Source organism: Homo sapiens, chromosome 2 (assembly GCF_000001405.40).
Source record: "Homo sapiens chromosome 2, GRCh38.p14 Primary Assembly".
Lineage (NCBI taxonomy): Eukaryota > Metazoa > Chordata > Mammalia > Primates > Hominidae > Homo > Homo sapiens.
This window is the reverse complement of record NC_000002.12, coordinates 75,543,661-75,561,221: the sequence shown is the minus strand read 5'-3', so window position 1 is coordinate 75,561,221 and position 17,561 is coordinate 75,543,661. Positions and strand designations below refer to the sequence as shown.

Genomic DNA, 17,561 nt, shown 5'->3' with positions numbered 1-17,561 from the left:
GAAAGCCTGGAGGACCGGGATAGGTTGGGGACTGCCGATGGGGAACCTCCCCGGTCCTGCGGACAGTCGGCAGCGCGGGGAGGCAGGCAGGAGTTGGGAGCGTGAACTAACTTGGCGCGGAGGGAGGTGCCGCACGCCGCAGCCGTTCAGGTTTCGCGTCTTGCGGGCGCCCACATGGGCCGCTGGCTTGCAGAAGGGGGCGGGGGAGAGGGAGGGCAGGTCCGGAGCCAAGCGGGTGGAGGAGGGGGGAGATCGAAGGAAATGAGACAACCTTTTCCTCCCACTGACTCGGGCTCCTGCAGCTTCTGCGGGGCTTGGCGCCGCCGTCCGTGAGCACCCAGGCCGGGACCCCACATCCCCAGGCCAGCCCTGACCCCGGCGGCCCCTCCGCCGGGATTCCTTTCCGAGGTACTGGTGCCGGCCCAAGACCCGGGCAGCGCTTTGTCGTGTCCGCCCCTCAGTGATCAGCTCCGGGTCCCCCTGCTCGGCCCCGCGCGCCCCAAGCGCAGTCCCCGGAAGTGCGCGCCGGGGCCCCAGCAAAGGTAAGAGGTGCCCGAGAGCGCTCCCTGAACTCTGGGGGCGCCCGGCATCCCCAGCGGGCTCCGGCTTCTCCGAAGCGCCCTCTTTTCGGAAACACCCAGAGCACTTCTGACCTGAAGCAGCTGCTTTGTTCCCAAGTCCCTGCCCAGGTGTTGTAGGCTGGGTCCCACAGGGAACTCTGCTTCCCAGCGCTTTCTTTTTTGCCTCCTCTTCCTCCCACTTTCCTGTTTCTTCTCTCGCCCCCCCTGCTTCTTTCTGGATAGAACAACTCTCAACTCCCTGCCTCTGCAGCCCAGCTTCGGAAAGCAGGTCGTTCCCAAATCTAGCGCTTCTCTCCTGTGCCTCTGGGAGCTGGGCTGAGCCTGACTGGCTTCTATCCCAAGCCTGCGCGGGGCGGACCTGCCAGAAATGTACGTGCTGCACCGTGGACTATTTACCTGGTTTGTTTCGGAGGCAGCCAACTCGCCGCGCGCATTTGGCGACCCCCAGGACCCCGAAAGCCGAGTGCATCAGGGAGTGAAAGGCTGTTGGCGCCCCCTAAAGTCCCAGTGGGACGCTTTGCTTTTGGAGAGGGGCGCGCAGACAGTCCACGCTGCTCTATCTGGGAGGTCTGCGTGGGGGTCCCCACCCCTACTATTGAGGGGTAAGGGGAGGTGTTGGCACGCAGTACGGAGCGCGTTGGGACATGGAGGAAATGAGGATGTCCTGGAAGGAGAGGAGTGCCAACCACATCGTGCTGGCTTGCCATGTTGTTCTTATTAACTGCCTGAGTTCTCATAACAAGCCTGTGTGTAGGGACTCTTACCCCTATTTTACAAACGGGCAAAATGAGATGGGGCCACACAGCTAGCTAGGAAAGGGCCCAGCCAGGATTTGGGTCCTAGCTGGTCTATACCACACATACACTTCAAGTCCAGCCCTACAGAAGATTCTTCTTTTTAGTCTGAGCAAGAACCGTCCCCCCAACTCCCCCGCCCCCCCCCCACCTCCTTTCTCATAGTACAAGGGACCAGGCTTTTTCCGTTTTGACCTAATATACCTTGATTATATTCAAACCCAAACTACTTATTATCTACTGTCCTCTGAGTTCAGCGGCAAGCACTGAGGTTTCACCTTTGAATCTTATTAATTCATCCCCTTCTTGTCATCCAGTCTGTCACGAAATGTGTAATACTGTTCAGAAGGCTGGCTTGAATCTCCTTTCCATAAAGGCAGTCAAGCGCAGTGGCTAAGAGCCCGGGCCCTGGAGTGAGACCACCAGCTTGAATCCTGGCTGGGGCCTTCCTGTACCTTTCTGTAGCTGGATTTCCTCATCTGTAAAGCAGGGATGCTAGGGCTTAAAGTAATGGTTTTCAACGGAATTTTGATTTTACTTCCCAAGTGACATCCAGCAATGTCTGGAGACATATTTGGCTGTCATCATGTAAGTAGAAGAGGATCTTATTCATCTGGTGGGTAGAGGCCAGGGATGCTGCCACATCCTGTATTGCACAAGACATCTCCCCCCTCCCCCACTCCGCTTCCAAGATTTAAGAATTATCTAGCCTAAAATGTTAATAGTGCTGAGGTTGAGAAGCCCAGGTTTAATGTTTCACTTCATGAAGAGTGCCATTATTTCCAGCTCTCATCCTTTTATCTGCTCTAGTTTGGCTGATTATACCAGTCTCTGTCCCAGTCTTTCCCTCCATTCCAGTGCCAGAATTCTGTTGCCAAATCCACAGCAGGTCATGCGGCTATATTGCCTTAGCACCCTTGTTGGTCCCCTATTGCTAGCAGAAGGGATGGGAATTGGGAATCTGCAGGTGTTTTACAAGCACTGAAGGTAATTCCTCTGCATGTTAAAGTTTGAAAATCACTGTCTTTACAGAATAAAATGTAACCCCCGACCTTGTACACATGGCTCTTCACAACTGGCCTCACCTTATGCCACTTCGTCAATGTTCCTGACATTCCCCCAACCCACTATTCTTTTGGTATTCTAGGTCCTGACTTTTTGGAATGCCCTTCTTCCTCCTTGGCTGGCAATCAATCTTTGAGACTAGAAGTTAAGTCTCCTTTTGGGTGAAGCATCATTCTTCAGTTCCTACAGACCATTTTGTTGCTCCCTGCCCTGCCCCAGGTTGGGGGAAAGCCTCAGCCTCAGCCTCAGCCTCCCCTCTCCCCTCCTTTTTTTTAAAAAATAAATATGTATCTCTTGCAGTATTTTGTTTATCTCTCCCCTGGTCTTACATACTTAGAATCTAGCTTAGTGCCGTCGATGCTCACAGTGATGGTTTCAGGCTTTGGCGTCAGGCTTCTTGCGTTCAAATCTCAGTTCTGCCGCTTATTAACTCTGTTAAAAGTTAATTACTTGACCTTGGTCAAGTTGAATCAGTCTCTCAAAGTCTTCTTGGTAAGAAGAAATAGCGTACCTTCTCTGCAGACTAGTATGACTAACTAATGGAATAATAATCATTCATCTTAATACTGAGTGCCTACCTAATTCCAGGACATGGTTCAAGTTTAGCATTTTATACATTTTTACTCATTTAAAACCTATAATGTCCTTTACAGTTACTACTGGTATTGCCCTTTTTTCCAGACAAAGAAACAGAGGCACAGAGAGGCTAAGCACTTTGCCCAGAGTCATGGAGCTAATGAGCGGTAGGGCCAAGATTCACGCACACATCTGGATTTCAAAACACATACTCTTTACACTATGCGGGTAAAGGGCTTAGCCCAGTGCTTGGCATATAATAAGTGCTCAGTTAATGTGAGATAAGGTTTGCTAAGTGCATTAATGAGAGCCTAAGTCCATTGGGTTTTCCACCTGCATCATGCTTGTGATTTAAGACTATGCCATTATTTTTACAACTCTTGCTCCTTTCCTTGCCTCCTGGCCCTGCCCCCAGCCACAGAGGGGCAGGACATTGGGGTTAGTTCCTAGCACCACTGATCTTGATGCTAAATTGAGCCTATGTACATAGTCAGGGCTAGAAGAGGATTAACTTTTTTGGGATGGGGGGATGGAGTCAACACACACCTGCCTGGAGGAGAGAGGTGCAGACTTGGGGTCGAAAACTCTGTGACTCCAGCTTTGTCTTTACTGTGCATGTGCCTTTTGCAGTGTGCACCTAGCATATAAATATTGGTGAAACCAATTGATGCATGAGGGATGGATGAATAAATGCCACCAGCTGAGTGTCCCACATTATACTTGATCAGATGCAAAGTACACCTTCTCTCCATGTATTGTAAGGCTCATTTATCTATTGAAGGTAAAACTGGCTAAGGGAATTTAATGACCCATATGGGGTGTTGGAGAAGCAGATTTGGAGCCACTCACTTACCCTCTGGGTAAGTTGTGTTTGACACTGGATACTTGGTTACAACTGATCACTAAACTAACTTGGAATCTTCTATTGCTTCTAATGCAGCCTTGGCTTTGAAAACCGAGCCCACTTGCTAGTCGCTGGGCCACTTGCTCTGTGGGCTAGACTGCCTTACACAAATACCTGCACATTTGTGTACTCTGGCTTCCTCCACAGCTGTCCTGCACAGCTGTAATCCCCCTGAGTTTGCTTGTTTTGGCAGGTTGTCTCCAAAACTTCAGTGGGGTGAGGTCACCTAACCTGGCATGTGTAAAGCCTTGTGGGTTTTTTAGGGGCCAGGGAAACATTCTAGTAAGTGCTGCTTTTGAGGGTGGAGTAGGGTGAGAACTCTCCTATCCATTGACATCCAAGACTCTTCAGATCCCCATGGTGAGGTCCTCAAACCCCTTGGCTGGTCCCTGGCCTGTTAGGAACAGGGTCATCGCCTGAGCTCCGCCTCCTGTCAGATCAGCGGCTGCATTAGATTCTCATAGGAGCATGAACCCTATTGCAAGCCGCATGGGTGAAGGATCTAGTTTGTGCACTCCTTATGAGAATCTAATGTTTGGTGATCTGAGGTGGAACAGTTTCATCCTGAAACCATCTCCCCCTATCCGTGGAAAAATTGTCTTCTAGGAAACTGGTCCCTGGAACCAAAAAGGTTGGGAACCGCTGCCCTATAGCACTGCCTTCCCTTTCCCACACCAGACTCGTACTGTCTCCTGGCATTATCCCCTCTCCTAGGTCACTAGCTGGCTGACCTGAGAGACAAATTCCTGTAGGATTTTAATGCCTTGAATAAAAGTTAGACCCAAGATCTTTGGGCATCACTTGTATTTATACTGAGGCTTTTATAGCTTGGCACAGAAGATAAACTAGCCCAGGGTAGAAAGGTTAGGGGGATGTCAGGATTGGTGCCAGGTCTTGAGGCCTCTGATGTCACACTTCGTTGGCTGCCACTTTGGGTAGCACCTCTTAAGTGACCTGCAGCAGACTTTCTAATGAAGCTGGCCCCTGCTTTGTGTCTCTAGTTCTAGGGAGATACACTTTGCCCCATTTACGTCTTGAGCTGTATTCTCTGTGAAATGCACTCTGTTGTTTGACTCTGTGTGAAACCCTGTTTAGTGCTGTAAAGGGCATTTGGATTCAGACTAGAGTGGTGGCAGAACCTTGAGGTATTAGTGTGGACTTGGAATACACGTGCAATACGTAGCTCTGTGCAGGTGCCAGAGACACAAAGATGAAGACCTGGTTTGTACCATTAAGATTGCAGTCCATGACATATGAGGGACGTGTGAATAGATCATCAGAATGTGTTAAATAGAATAAGAGATCTGAGCAGAGAACTGGGAGCTCAAAGGAACCAGCACCATCTCTGCTAGAAGAGTTAGGAAAGGCATCAGAGAGAAGAGGATGTTTGAGCTTGGCCTTAACGTGTAAGCGGGAGCTTGGCGGGTTTGAAGGGACTGGTGATTAAAGAGCATTACAGATAGGAAACAGCATGTGTAAGAGTCAAGAAAGGGCCTGGAAGACATGTAGGCATATGGTGGGGACTGGAGGGCAGAGATGGGCCTGGGGAGGTGACTTTGACATTTTACCAGTGCAGGAGTCTGTCTCTGTACTGTTTTGAGACAATGGAGTGGGCATTTAAAGCTCAGGTGTGCTGAGCTCTTTGAATAGGGGCTCTGCCTCTTATCTCTGCTGGCCTTGTTTCCTCCTGGGGCAGTGGAACCAGAGCCCACGGGTCAGGGAGAGACACTGTCTCTAGTAAGCAAAGAAATCACAATCAAAAACAAAGCTGAGCTGGGAGGTTGTGGGTAGTTGTTTTGTTTTCTTTTCAAAGTCCTAGCTGATGAGCTATGTGAGTGGCCCCTCCAGAGTCTAGGTTTTACCTTTAGAGCATCCAAAAGTCTGTATGAATTGCTAAGCAATTGCTAAATTTCTCCAGACTTAGAAAGGGATGGAGAAACAGAGGGAAAGAAGGGGAGATGGGGGAGAGAGAGAGAGAGAGAGAGAGAGAGAGAGAGAGATTGAGTTTTGATGCTAAAGTCTGTTTCACATAAAATCCAGCCTGTGATCCAGCAGGTCAACAGCTATTAGGATTCACACATTTCCTGGGAATTGCATTCCCATTTGCAGTCTTTCTTTGAGCCCAAAGCCATTTGCATGTGCTGATTGCACTGAGCTCCCCACAGAGGATGGGTGCATATGCTTATTGATTAGACAATTGATGTAGGTCCTTCTATAGGTCATCCCCAGGCTTTACTCATTTATTCACCACTTAGTGACCCCCTGGCACATAGGAGGCACTTAGTAAGTGATAGATGAGTGAATGAATGCTCTAGCATGGAAGTCCCATTCCTGGACCTCAAGATGCTCATGGTCTGAAGGAAGAGATAGAAAAGAAAACAGACAACACAGTGTGGTGGATTAGTGCCATGACAGAGAAGATATGAGTAGAGAAGAAGACTCAATCCAGCCAGGGATCAGGGACTGGAGACAGGGAGAAGAATCCTCTCTTCTGGGGACCATCCTTCCTCCAGGGAAGTGGTCCCAGGAGTGGTTCCTAGAGATCAATTATAACCTGGGGTGGGTGCCAGGCACTGTGTTAGGGGCTTTAGCTGACTTAATTGCATGGATCCTGACAAACACCCTCTGAGGTCTGTATTAGAGGAGGAATCAGGGTCACACCCACAACTAAAAGGCAGAGCCAGGATCAGGTCCAGGGCACCAAACTCTGAGCCCTTTATCCCGCTCCAGATAGTCTCCAGAGAGCTGTTATCATCAAAGATACTTTTAGAAAATCTGCTTTCGAAAAAGAAGGTGAAAGAGTGGGCCGCTGTGGTTGGGATAGGAATGGCCATTTCCTCCCCGCTTTTCCCCCTTTCCTTCTCCCCAGCCTGGCATCTGAGGCTGTGCCTGGGGGCAGTGAGATGCTCTTTGTTCTGGGGTTCAAAAACTCTCTTCCTCCTCTTGCCCCCTCTTTGATCACCAAGGCAGCCTGCACTTTGCCCTCCATGGTGAGAGGAGAGGGAAATGCTGCTTAGTAGAGAAGCAACCATAAACTTGCAAGGAAAAGAAGACTTTACAAAACACCTGCTGTAATTTAAGCCTCTCCCCTTTTGCCTTGCCCCCTCCTGCCCTTGTCATTCAGATGGGGCTGGTGGTAGCTGCAGGGAGCAGACTTCAGGGGATCTTGTTTCTGCAAGGGGACTTTGATCAAAAGGGCTGCCTAAAGCTGTCTTTCTCTGGGCACCTCCACAAACACACTCATCTTGTCAAGACAAGACAGGCCATAGCAGCCCATGGGAGGAGACGGGTAGGGCCTGTTACTGGAAGAAGCATTTCTTTCCTGAGTTCCCCCATCCTGAGTGCCACTTGGCCAAGCAACCTCTGACAGTGGCATCCTTCTTTGCTGCACTGAGATGTCGCTATGAACCTGAGAGTGGGCGGAATGAGCACTGGAGGAGAGTCAGCAATGCCATTTACTTGCTATGAGACCTCGGTCCTTTAATCTCCTAGTGGGTCAGTCACACAGGGCAGGAATGGTTGGCCTGGACATTCTCCAGTGTTAGACCCTGCTGCATGTCAAAAGCAGGGTGCACTGTAGGATCTTGTGGAACTTCAGAAGACAATGACTGGACATTTAGTCTGAAAAAGACACACATGAAAGTAAAAGTGTTCCTGTGGGTGTGCTAATGTGCTCACAGAGACAGCTTGGTGGCCTTGGTGTGTCTGCTCAGCTCAAGCTGCCAACACTTATTGACACCTTCATGTGCCAGGCACAGTTCCAGGCTCTGGAAACAGGGATGAACAAGATACTCTTTGTGCCCAAGGAGCTCAGCAATCCAGTGTGGAGACAGATGAGGAAATCAGAGATAGTAATGCAATGTTTTGCTGTCCATCTCTCATTACAGTAAGTTCTCTGAAATCAGGACATATGTCTTGTTGATTCCCAAATCACCAGAGCCTACTGTAAACTGGCCTATGGCAGATGCTCAATCAATGAATGTTGTACTACCCTAAAGTACCACACTAGAGGCAATCACAGGGTGCTATGTGCACCCACAGGAGGGACACCTAAACTCAGCTTGGAGAGCAGGTGAGTCCAAGACAACATGCATCAAAGAGGCTGAGATGGAGCATCCAGGCTGATGAGAGGAGAAGTGGAGCCTAGGCAGATGGGCCGGTGAGAAGTCCAGCATGTCCAGGTGAGCAAACCAGGGCTGCTTCAAGAAGGGAAGGCAGATAGGCATGGCTGGGGACAAAGGAAGTCAGCCTGTGAAGGGGCAAGGTAATCACATCTGGATTTGTTAGAGAATTGGAATTTTACTTTGAAGATAGTGGGGAGCTACTGCAGGATTTCACACAGAGGAGAGACTGGGTCAAAGTTTTGTTCTAATACTGTTCTGGCAATAGAGTAAATATTGGAGAAGAATAAGATAGGTGGCAAAAAGACCAGTTAGCATGTTATTGCAGTTTAGGGGATGAAAAAGCCTGAGATTTGGAGTCAGATACATCTCAGCCTCCTTCCCAGCCACACTCCCTGTAACTTGGGCTGTTTAGCAAATGTCTCTGAGCCTCTGTCTTATCTGAAAACAGTGGACTCTACTTCCTCCCTTATGGATGGTATGCATGGTAGACAGGGTTACATACAATGAAGTATGGGAAATGTCTACTACAGTGGTTTATTTGTAATTGGCAAGTCATACTAGTGGCCAGTATTATTTTTAATATTGTTGTGACTTACTATCATCTAGGTGAGAAATAATGAGATTCTAATAAGACACTGGTAATTAGGGTGGAGAATTGGGCAGACTCAAGAAAGCCTTTGGCAATAAAGTTGGCATGATTTGGTGACTGATTGAACAGGGGAGTAAGGGAGGGGCAGGAGTCTAGGATGATTCTGACATTTTGGCCTGGCATCCAGTGGGAAGGATAGTGGGGCTATTCATTAGGAGAGAGAAGGGACAGGGAGGAGGGAGCAGCATTTATAGGAAGGATGATGAACTCAGTTTCAGATATGTTGAGTTTGAAATATTAAGATAGTTAGGGAGAGATGGCTAGTGGGCAGATGTTTTCTAGGTTTGACATTCCCGAGAAAAGTCTTCAAGATTTACAAGAAAGCTAACTTTTTTTTTTTTAAGAGACAGAGTCTCACTTTGTGACCACGCTGGCATGCAGCAGCACAATCATAGCTCACTGCAGTCTTGAACTTGAACCCCTGGGCTCAGGTGATCCTCCTGATTCAGCCTCCTGAGTAGCTGGGACTACAGTTATATGCCACTATGTCCAGCTAATTTGTAAAACTTTTTGTAGAGCAGGGTCTCACTATGTTGACCAGGCTGGTTTTGAACTTCTGGCCTCAAGTGATCCTCCTGCCTCAGTCCCCCAAAGTGCCAGAATTACAGGCATGAGCTACGGTGCCCGGCCCACAAACAAACTTTAACCAAAGGTAGTGAAGTCATGGCATGGATCAGTTGGTTACGGAGGGTTATGGAGTATGGGAAGAGGAATTATAATAGCTAATGTTTATTGAGTGTGTACTGTATGTTCTAAACACTTTACGTGTATTAATCCTCTCAACAACCATTGTTAGGAAGGACTACTATTGTTTTACCTATTTTACAGCTGAGTAAACCTAGGCACAGAGATGGTAAGTAATTTGCCCAAGGTCACACAGCTATAAGTCATGGACCTAGGATTTTAAGTCAGCTATCAGGATGCCAGGCATGTGCCAGATTGCTTCCGAGAGTGGCAGTACTAGGGCACAACACTGACCTCAGGGAAGGAAGGAGAGAACCCAGTGAAGTCAACAGGGAAGGGGATGTGCAGAAAGGCAGGAGGAAATGGGAGACTGGGATGCGGAAGAGGAGAGTTTCCAGGAGAGGGGGATCAACAGCTTCAAATGATATGGAAGAATGAGAGATCTGAAATGTTCACGGATTTGGAAATTCCAAAGCTATTGACGACTTGGTGAGAGGAGTCTAACAGATGAGGGGAGTCTAACAGATGAGGGGAGCTAATGAACAAATGTGAGGTGAGGAAGTGGACATACCAAACTTTAGCAATTGTTTTTAGAGGCTTGTCTATGAAAGTAACATGCAAGAAAAGACAGCAGCTAGAGGTATTAGGTAGAGACAGTGTTTTAAAGATGGAAAAGACCAGCACGTTTTTTTTGGTTTTTTTTGTTTTGTTTTGTTTTGTTTTTGAGCAGAGTCTTGCTCTGTCGCCCAGGCTGGAATGTGTGGTGCGATCTTGGCTCACTGCAACCTCTGCCTCCTGGGTTCAAGTGACTCTCCTGCCTCAGCATCCCAAGTAGCTGGGATTACAGACACACACTACTATGCCTGGCTAATTTTTTGTATTTTTAGTAAAGACAGCATTTCACCATGCTGGCCAGGCTGGTCTCGAACTCCTGACTTCGTGATCTGCCCTCCTTGGCCTCCCAAAGTGCTGGGATTACAGGCGTGAGCCACCGTGCCTGCCCGACCAGCACATATTATAGAGTGGTCACAAATGGACTATGCACGCTGGGAGAGGTGTCTCCATGTTTGCTTCTCTTTTCCACACAGATTTCTAATATTTCTCTTCATATTCTGGATGGCTTCCATGTTGATAGTTGGATATCATTAAAGAAATTCTGGACAGGTGTTTCAGGTCTTCAGCTTTTATTAGATGGAGCAGAGAAAATGTCTTTCACAATGCCCAGTGGTGACTTATCACTTGTTGTTAAGTCCAGACCATGTCAAATTCAGGTGCGTTCAGTATATCACCCACTCAATTTGCCTTCAAAGTATTCCTCAATAGAGCATGATGTACTGAAGCTCCACTTCAGGCATGGGGAATTGGCATCTGCTGTGTAGATACTTGGAGGTAAGGATGGCAACAGCACCAAGGTTTCAGGAGGAAGGAAGAGGACCTAGACCATAGTGGGGTTATGGGGAGGAGACACCAGCTTTGGACTGGAGAAGAGACACCTGCTTCTCTGAGCAAAGGGAAAGGTAGTTGGGGATGAAGGCAAATATATGAGAGGAGACAGAGAGTTGTTTAGACCTTGTAGGAAATGAAAGGTCCATTATAAGATTTGCTGGAGTGACAACCCTCTGCTTGGAATGACCCTAGAGGATTTGACCACTGCCATTTAAAGTTCTTAATAATGGAAAAATAGGGGCATTTCCTGTGAATTCTTTGTTACCAGGTTTAGAGACTGCATCCCAGAGCCTCCCAGAAGCCATCCCAGAAGATGTTTTTATCTAGGGGCAAAGACAATCTCTGTTTTCATACTTAAGATTCTTTTGTTCAGACCAGAGGCAGATACCATAGAGGGTTAAAAGCTTGACTTAAACAAGAAATTCAGCTTTGCCTTGGTTCATGTTCATGATGCTGACATCCCTGAGGCTCAGGGCTGGAATTAGAATTTGGCTGCCAACTTCAAATATTTGCTTTGGTTGAAATGGCATCTTTGCTCTTCTTGGAAACATCTCAGTGAAATGCACACACCTTCACAGAGGGCCTTTATGGAAAGGGCTCTCCCAAAGGGCACCATCCTGAATCCAAAAGGCCACACGGGAAATGGCCTTGGGGTATTTTTCTTTCCCCACACAAAGCAGCAGCTCAGCTGAATTATTTGTTTGATCTTGAGCCTTCAGGTATCAGGAAAAGTAAACAGTACATCATTCAAGAGTCACATTTCCAGCTTGAAGGTTCCCTGGAGGACAGCTTGAAGGTACTGGAGGACACTGTAGGAGGCAAGGAAGGATCATCCCTGCCGGACCCCTCCCCACTCTCCTCCCAGCCAGGTCTCTCACCTGGATGTGGGCATGTGCAGAGTCCCTTTGGCTGGGTGTGGGTGTGATGGACAGACAGGGCACTCTCCTTAGGGACTCTTTCTTCCATCAGAGGGAAGAAGCTGCAGGTGTTTTGCCCCACTTTTCCTCAGTAGACAAAGAGTGGTGGAAGTGCTTCCCCAGGAAGGTGTGGCTGGGATGCTGTGTGGCTCCGCACAAATGTGGTTCGGTGAAGTTACATAATCCCATACTTGGCTTTATTCCTATTCCACAGGGTCTGAATTTTCTGTCATGAAAAAGTCCTATGTACATGTTCCACACTGATTCCCACAAATGAGTGCACAGGGCTGTATACATGTGTCAGATATCCACATCTAAGCTATCACTGGTGCTTCTGCCCATCCAACCTTCTGGATTGTGGCAGGGTGCAAAAGGGTTTGGGAGGCAGTACACTGTGTGCCCATAAAGCAACAGCTGTGATACCTTAGATTCTCTTTCATTTGTATTTGATTTATTAGTAAAAAAAAAAAAAATATATATATATATATATATATATATTTTTCATTTAGCCAGTCATCAGTTCATTTAATAATTTGAACAACTATGTGGCTGGCTCAAGGCTAGATGATGGTAAAGTGATGGTGATTCTGACAGTCTTAGTTCCTGCCTTCTGGGGGCTCACAGTTATTACGGGATGGGCATTCAAGAAGTAAATACACAGATAAAATACATGATGATTATAAACTGGTAACTGCTATCCTGGACAAGAACAGGGTGCTCTAGGAGGGAATGAGAGAGGTTTAGGTTGGGGGTGTCCAGTAAAGGAGAAAGATCTGTAGGCGCATATTCATTCTTTACAACATGCTGTCTATTGAAGGGATGTCACAGGGTGCTAAGGGAACTCTAAGGAAGGAGTGCCTGACCCTTGAATAGGGCTGAAAAGCTTCGGAGGGAAGGGACATTTAAACATAATCTTAAAGAATATGTGAAATTTTTTCATGTGGAAAGGGAGTAGAGATGTTACAGGTGGAGGCAACACGTGGTGTTTGGGGGGACTCTTAATCAGCAAGAGTGGGACATAGGGGAGTGGCAAGAAATGAGCAAGGAGGCCAGGCAGGGTGGCTCACACCTATAATCTCAGCACTGTGGGAGGTCAAGGCAGGCAGATTGCTTGAGCCCAGGAGTTCAGCACCAGCCAGGCCAACATGGCAAAACCTCATCTCTACCAAAAATACAAAAATATTAGCCAGGCATGGTGATGTGAGCCTGTAATTCTAGCTGTTTGGGAGGCTGAAGTGGGAGAATCCCTTGAGCACAGGAAGTGGAGCTGGCAGTGAGCCAAGATCACGCTTCTGCATTATAGCCTGAGTGACAGAATGAGACCCTGTCTCAAAAATAAATAAATAAAAGAGAAATGAGCTAGGAAAGACAGGCAAGGGCCAACTACTCAATGTAGGTTTTTTATGAGAGGCAAGTCACTGAAGGGAATGGCAACTTACCCAGGGCCTGGCAGACTTTTTCTGTAAAGGATCAGATAGTAAGTATTCTAAGCTTTGTGGACCTACAGTCTGTCATAGCTATTCAGCTCTGCCACTATGGTGCAAAAGGAGCCACAGACAATATGCAAATGAGTGAGTGAGTGTGGCTATGTGATAGTAAAACTTTATAAACAAAAACAGGCAGTGGGCTGGATTTACCCATGAGCAGTAGTTTACCAGCCCCTGCTCTAGAGTGATAATGCTGGTGGGTGACTCTGTGAATGCTGAATTGGAGGATGGGGAGAGAATGGAGGTAGGGAGCCAGTTAGGAGCTATTGCTTTAATTCAGGGAACTTAAGGAAGGGACGATGGGGAGAAATGGTTTGTGGTGTGCTCCAAAGTGAAAATGACAGGACTGCAGACCAATTTGATGAGAACATGTCTAGTTGTTTCTTTAATGCTCAGTGGACTGATTCTTCCAGAGAAGGAAAAAAAAGTCTTGGGTATTCTGGGTGTGTGACTCAGAATCATGCGCACATCTGGGAGGTCACCTGCTGGTCACTAGACATCGTGCTTGGTGCATTACATAGATTATCTCCTTGTTAAGCATAATTCTTAAGAATTCTTTAGAATGTTAAGTTGTATTTCCTATTTCAAACTGAAGTTTGAAAATTGCAAGTCATTTGCCTAAAGCTGTATCGCTGGTAAATGGAGCTAAGATTTAACCCAGGTCTGGTGTCAAAGCCTGTACCATTCCTGAGATGCAGAATCTTTTCTCCTCACCCGGTGGGTGGCATGAAGCTCCATCCATGAACCTGTGCAGCTCCATTCTTTCCCCTCTGTTCCTTCTAAGACCCATCCAGCAAGGAGGACAAGGGAATGCACGTAGGGAGGACAAATACCAAAGTCGGCTGCAAGTGTTAATCTGTTTTAACTGCCAGCCTGTGTGCATTTCCTAGGGTTCCTATAATAAAATATCACAAATTGGGTGGCTTAGAATAATAGAAAAGTATCGGCTCATGGTTCTGGAGGCCAGAAGGCCAAAATCAGGATGTCAGCAGGGCCATGCCCTCTCTGAAGGCTCTAGGGAAAGATCTGTCCCAGGGTTCTCCAATGGCTTCTGGTAGCCTTAGGTGTTTTTTTTTTTTTTTTTTTTGGCCTATTGATGGCTGTCTTCTGTGTCTTTTCACATCATCTTCGCTGTGTGTGTGTCTGTGTCCAAATTTCCTTTTTATAAGAACACCAGTTATATTGGGTTGAGGCCCGCCCTAATGCCTTTGTCTTAATTTGATTAAATCTGTAAAGACCCTATTTCCAAATAAGGACATATTTTGAGGTGTTGGAAGTTAGGAGTTCCCCATATTTTTAGGGGAAAAGACACAATTCAACCCCTAACATGACCCTTTCCCAAGAAGAATTCAGGAGCTTCCTCTGACCAAGATCCCTGAGTGGATCTCAATTCAGTTCCTTCTCCAAGGTGTCTTCATCTGTGGTCAGTTTTTCCATCCACGTCGTATATACACTGCTTGGGACATGAAGATTTTGTCTATATTTACATATGCTTTTATTACTACAGTTCAGATGGATTTCTGTTCAAACTCCTTAGCCTTTGCATTTGACAGTGTTCTCTCATCTTCATTCACTGCATTTTCCCCCCAGCCTCTTCTTTCCCTACTTGGCACTTTGCTCATTCATTCATTAGTTCATATAACAATAAGTGCTAAGTTCCTGTTGCATTCTGGGGACTATGCTAAGCTCCAAGGATATAAAGGTGAAAAGATGAAAAAAATAGTTCCTGCTCTTGGCGATGTTTATGGGAGGCCACACAAGCAAATAGAGTGGAGAAATTGAATAGGGAAGTGTGAGTGCAGCTTCCCAGCTTAGCATCCTCAGTGGCTCCCTACTGTTGCTAGGAGAGAGTCTGAGCTCCCTTGCAGAACACACCAGGCCTCCCATGACCTGGCCCCAGCCCCCTCAACAGTTTCCTCTCTCACTTTCCCTTCCTTTCACTTTGTGCCTCACTCATTTTCATCCACTTGCTCTTCCCCAGCTATACAATTCTCTCTCTCAAATCGTGTCTTTCTCCAGGAATGCTCTTTGAGTTGAGAGGTGCTCATCCTCCCCCATTCTCAGCTATTATCTGCTTGATTAACTCCTACTTCTTTGAGACTGACCTCTGGGGGTACCTCTTCCAGGAAGCTATGACCCCTTCCTCTGCCATCCTTATAGCTCCTTGGGCTTCCCCTTGGTAACAACCTCTCCTCCCCCTAGGAGACACTGACTGAGGCTTATTTATCTTTGTAACTGCAGTGCCCAATCAAATGCCTGTATTAATAGGAGCTTCATTAATTAATGAGTGAATGAATGATTTCTGTGTCCTGTGCTTTGCTTCTGCCCTCCAGGCTGCACTTTCCCTTTAGCCTCCTTCCCCGGAATCACATGTCTGGTCACCACTTTTTCTCTACCACAAGTCCAGAAATCTCACTGCTTAAGGCCTCCTTTCTGTTGTGCTGACACCTCAGTTACGCTGGCCCTAATGATCAGTGGCTACACTTGGCTACCCAAAGACCATCATCTCTTTGGTCTGCCCTGCTTCCCACAGAGAAGCCTTCTTATTTGCCTATGGGAAGATGGTTCTCATCGGGAAAGCAAAACTTCCTCTATGGCCTTCTCTGTTTCTCCAGTCCCAAAGTTTCCCCTCTCCCAATTCCAGGAGCAAGGGACACACTATTTCTGCTTCATTGATTAATTCAAAAAGCATTTTTTTTATTCTCAAGCTTGTATCTGGAGTTGTGGTTGAATTACTCTCACCCTTTTCTACTTCTGCCTTTCTAACCAAAAAGATCTGTTTCTTACATCTTTTCCTGCTTCATATTTTGGGTTTTTCCTATATATTAAATGTTACAGTGATTTTTGGAAACTTTTCAGCATTAAAACTCTTCAATGAAATCTTATGTGGAATATTAATGACTATAACAGAGCAAACCAACATTTTGTTATATATATTAGCTTGATAAATTTAGTTTTTAACATACAGTTAATGAAAACAATGAGAATGTTATGAAAATTTGAAATTGAGGGTTTGGGATGAACACTGTAGCCTCATGACATTCTCACTATCAAGTGTACCCCTGTATTTTATATTGACTGTACAACATGCAACAGCTAGATATTGGAAATTATAGCACTTTTAAACAAGATACCTTACAGATTCAGGCTATTCTGATTTCAATGATCTAGAAACATGAAAGATAAATATAGGAAGAATTGGTTTTAATGTTGACTCACTAACACTATGTAACAATTGTTTAATTATAAGAGGTCTAATGGAAAGGAACAGATTCTTTCACTTAGATTCACCAATTTATATCTTTGGCAGAAAATTCTTCCCAAAATTATGTTGTATCATCATGAGAGGTTAATTATGTTGTTAATTTTTTTTTCAGAAACTCCAGTGTTTGTTTCTCTGTAGTAATCACTTAAAGCCTTTAACACAGCAAAACATGTTTAATCTGGCATTTTGAGCTCAAACTTCAGTTGTCAGTTTCATCATGGACGCTATCGGCCACAAGAGAAGCAGTAATAGAATGGCCCTGCATTACTGTTGGTCTTGATCAGTCTAACATCAAAATAAGCATGCTACTAGTAATGCTAATAATACTAATAATAATGCTACTGGTAATACTTACCATGGTACAGCATGTTATGTGGTCACATATTACCGTATAGTTTAGTATTACGTCTTTATAAGAGCATACATTCCAGGGAAGTCCCTGAGCCCTTCCTGGCCTTTAATTGAGCATGGCGCTAGGGGGCCAGGGTGATGGTAGTGTACTTGCTCATACAGTTTTACAGCATAAGAATACTTGCATGGATCCGAACAGTTGAAAGATCTTTTTGGAACTACAGCTTTCCCAATTAATGACACATCTACATGTGTTCAAACATATTCATGGTTTTGGCAGGAGAACCTTTATTCTGAAGCGGGCATGAGTATATTATAACCTGTGGCTCATGTAAACCACTGGGGTCTATGATTGTTCACATTTGGTATCACACACTTGTCTGTGTTTACCATTTTAAAAATATTTTTAAATGTAATTTGAATCAAACATTTCTAGAACCCTTGAAATGAATAAGTTGACCTCCATTGTGTTAGAATAAGGTGTAAGAAAATTGTGGTCTCAGGTGGGATCTTTAGCAGGGCTGGCTTGGGAGGACCTCCCTGTTTTGATCAGGTAAACATCTGCCCAGGTCAGGGCTTTCACCTCCGGGGAGCTCAGCAGTTTGTCTGTGCTGAATTCAATTGAATTGACACGGGGCAGGTCCTATGTGGTTGTAGGACTAGTTCCCCCTGGTGAGGAATGATTAGGAAGGTCTCAGGTAGAAGCCGCCCACCTCCC

At 46.2% G+C, this 17,561-nt stretch overlaps 1 protein-coding gene across 4 annotated transcripts in view, besides 1 other annotated feature; it reads left to right on the top strand.

The window, feature by feature from the left end:
• The window catches only part of EVA1A (eva-1 homolog A, regulator of programmed cell death), a 77,402-nt gene that overhangs the window by 8,498 nt on the left and 51,343 nt on the right, over positions 1 to 17,561 (top strand). For 2 of the 4 annotated variants that reach the window (NM_001135032.2, NM_001369525.1), the window contains exon 1: positions 283 to 542. The exons of 1 other annotated variant lie outside the window; for it this stretch is intronic. The gene's annotated coding sequence lies outside the window, so the exon portion shown is untranslated. Of the gene's footprint in view, positions 1 to 282; positions 543 to 17,561 lie in introns of those variants that run through there. One more of the 4 variants, NM_001369524.1, reaches the window with a different exon arrangement.
• Positions 274 to 333: a silencer, noted in NCBI's record as "silent region_11682". NCBI's record gives its function as "represses an Ori minimal core promoter by ATAC-STARR-seq in GM12878 lymphoblastoid cells {active_cell/tissue: GM12878}" and the evidence as "EXISTENCE:reporter gene assay evidence [ECO:0000049][PMID:35858748]".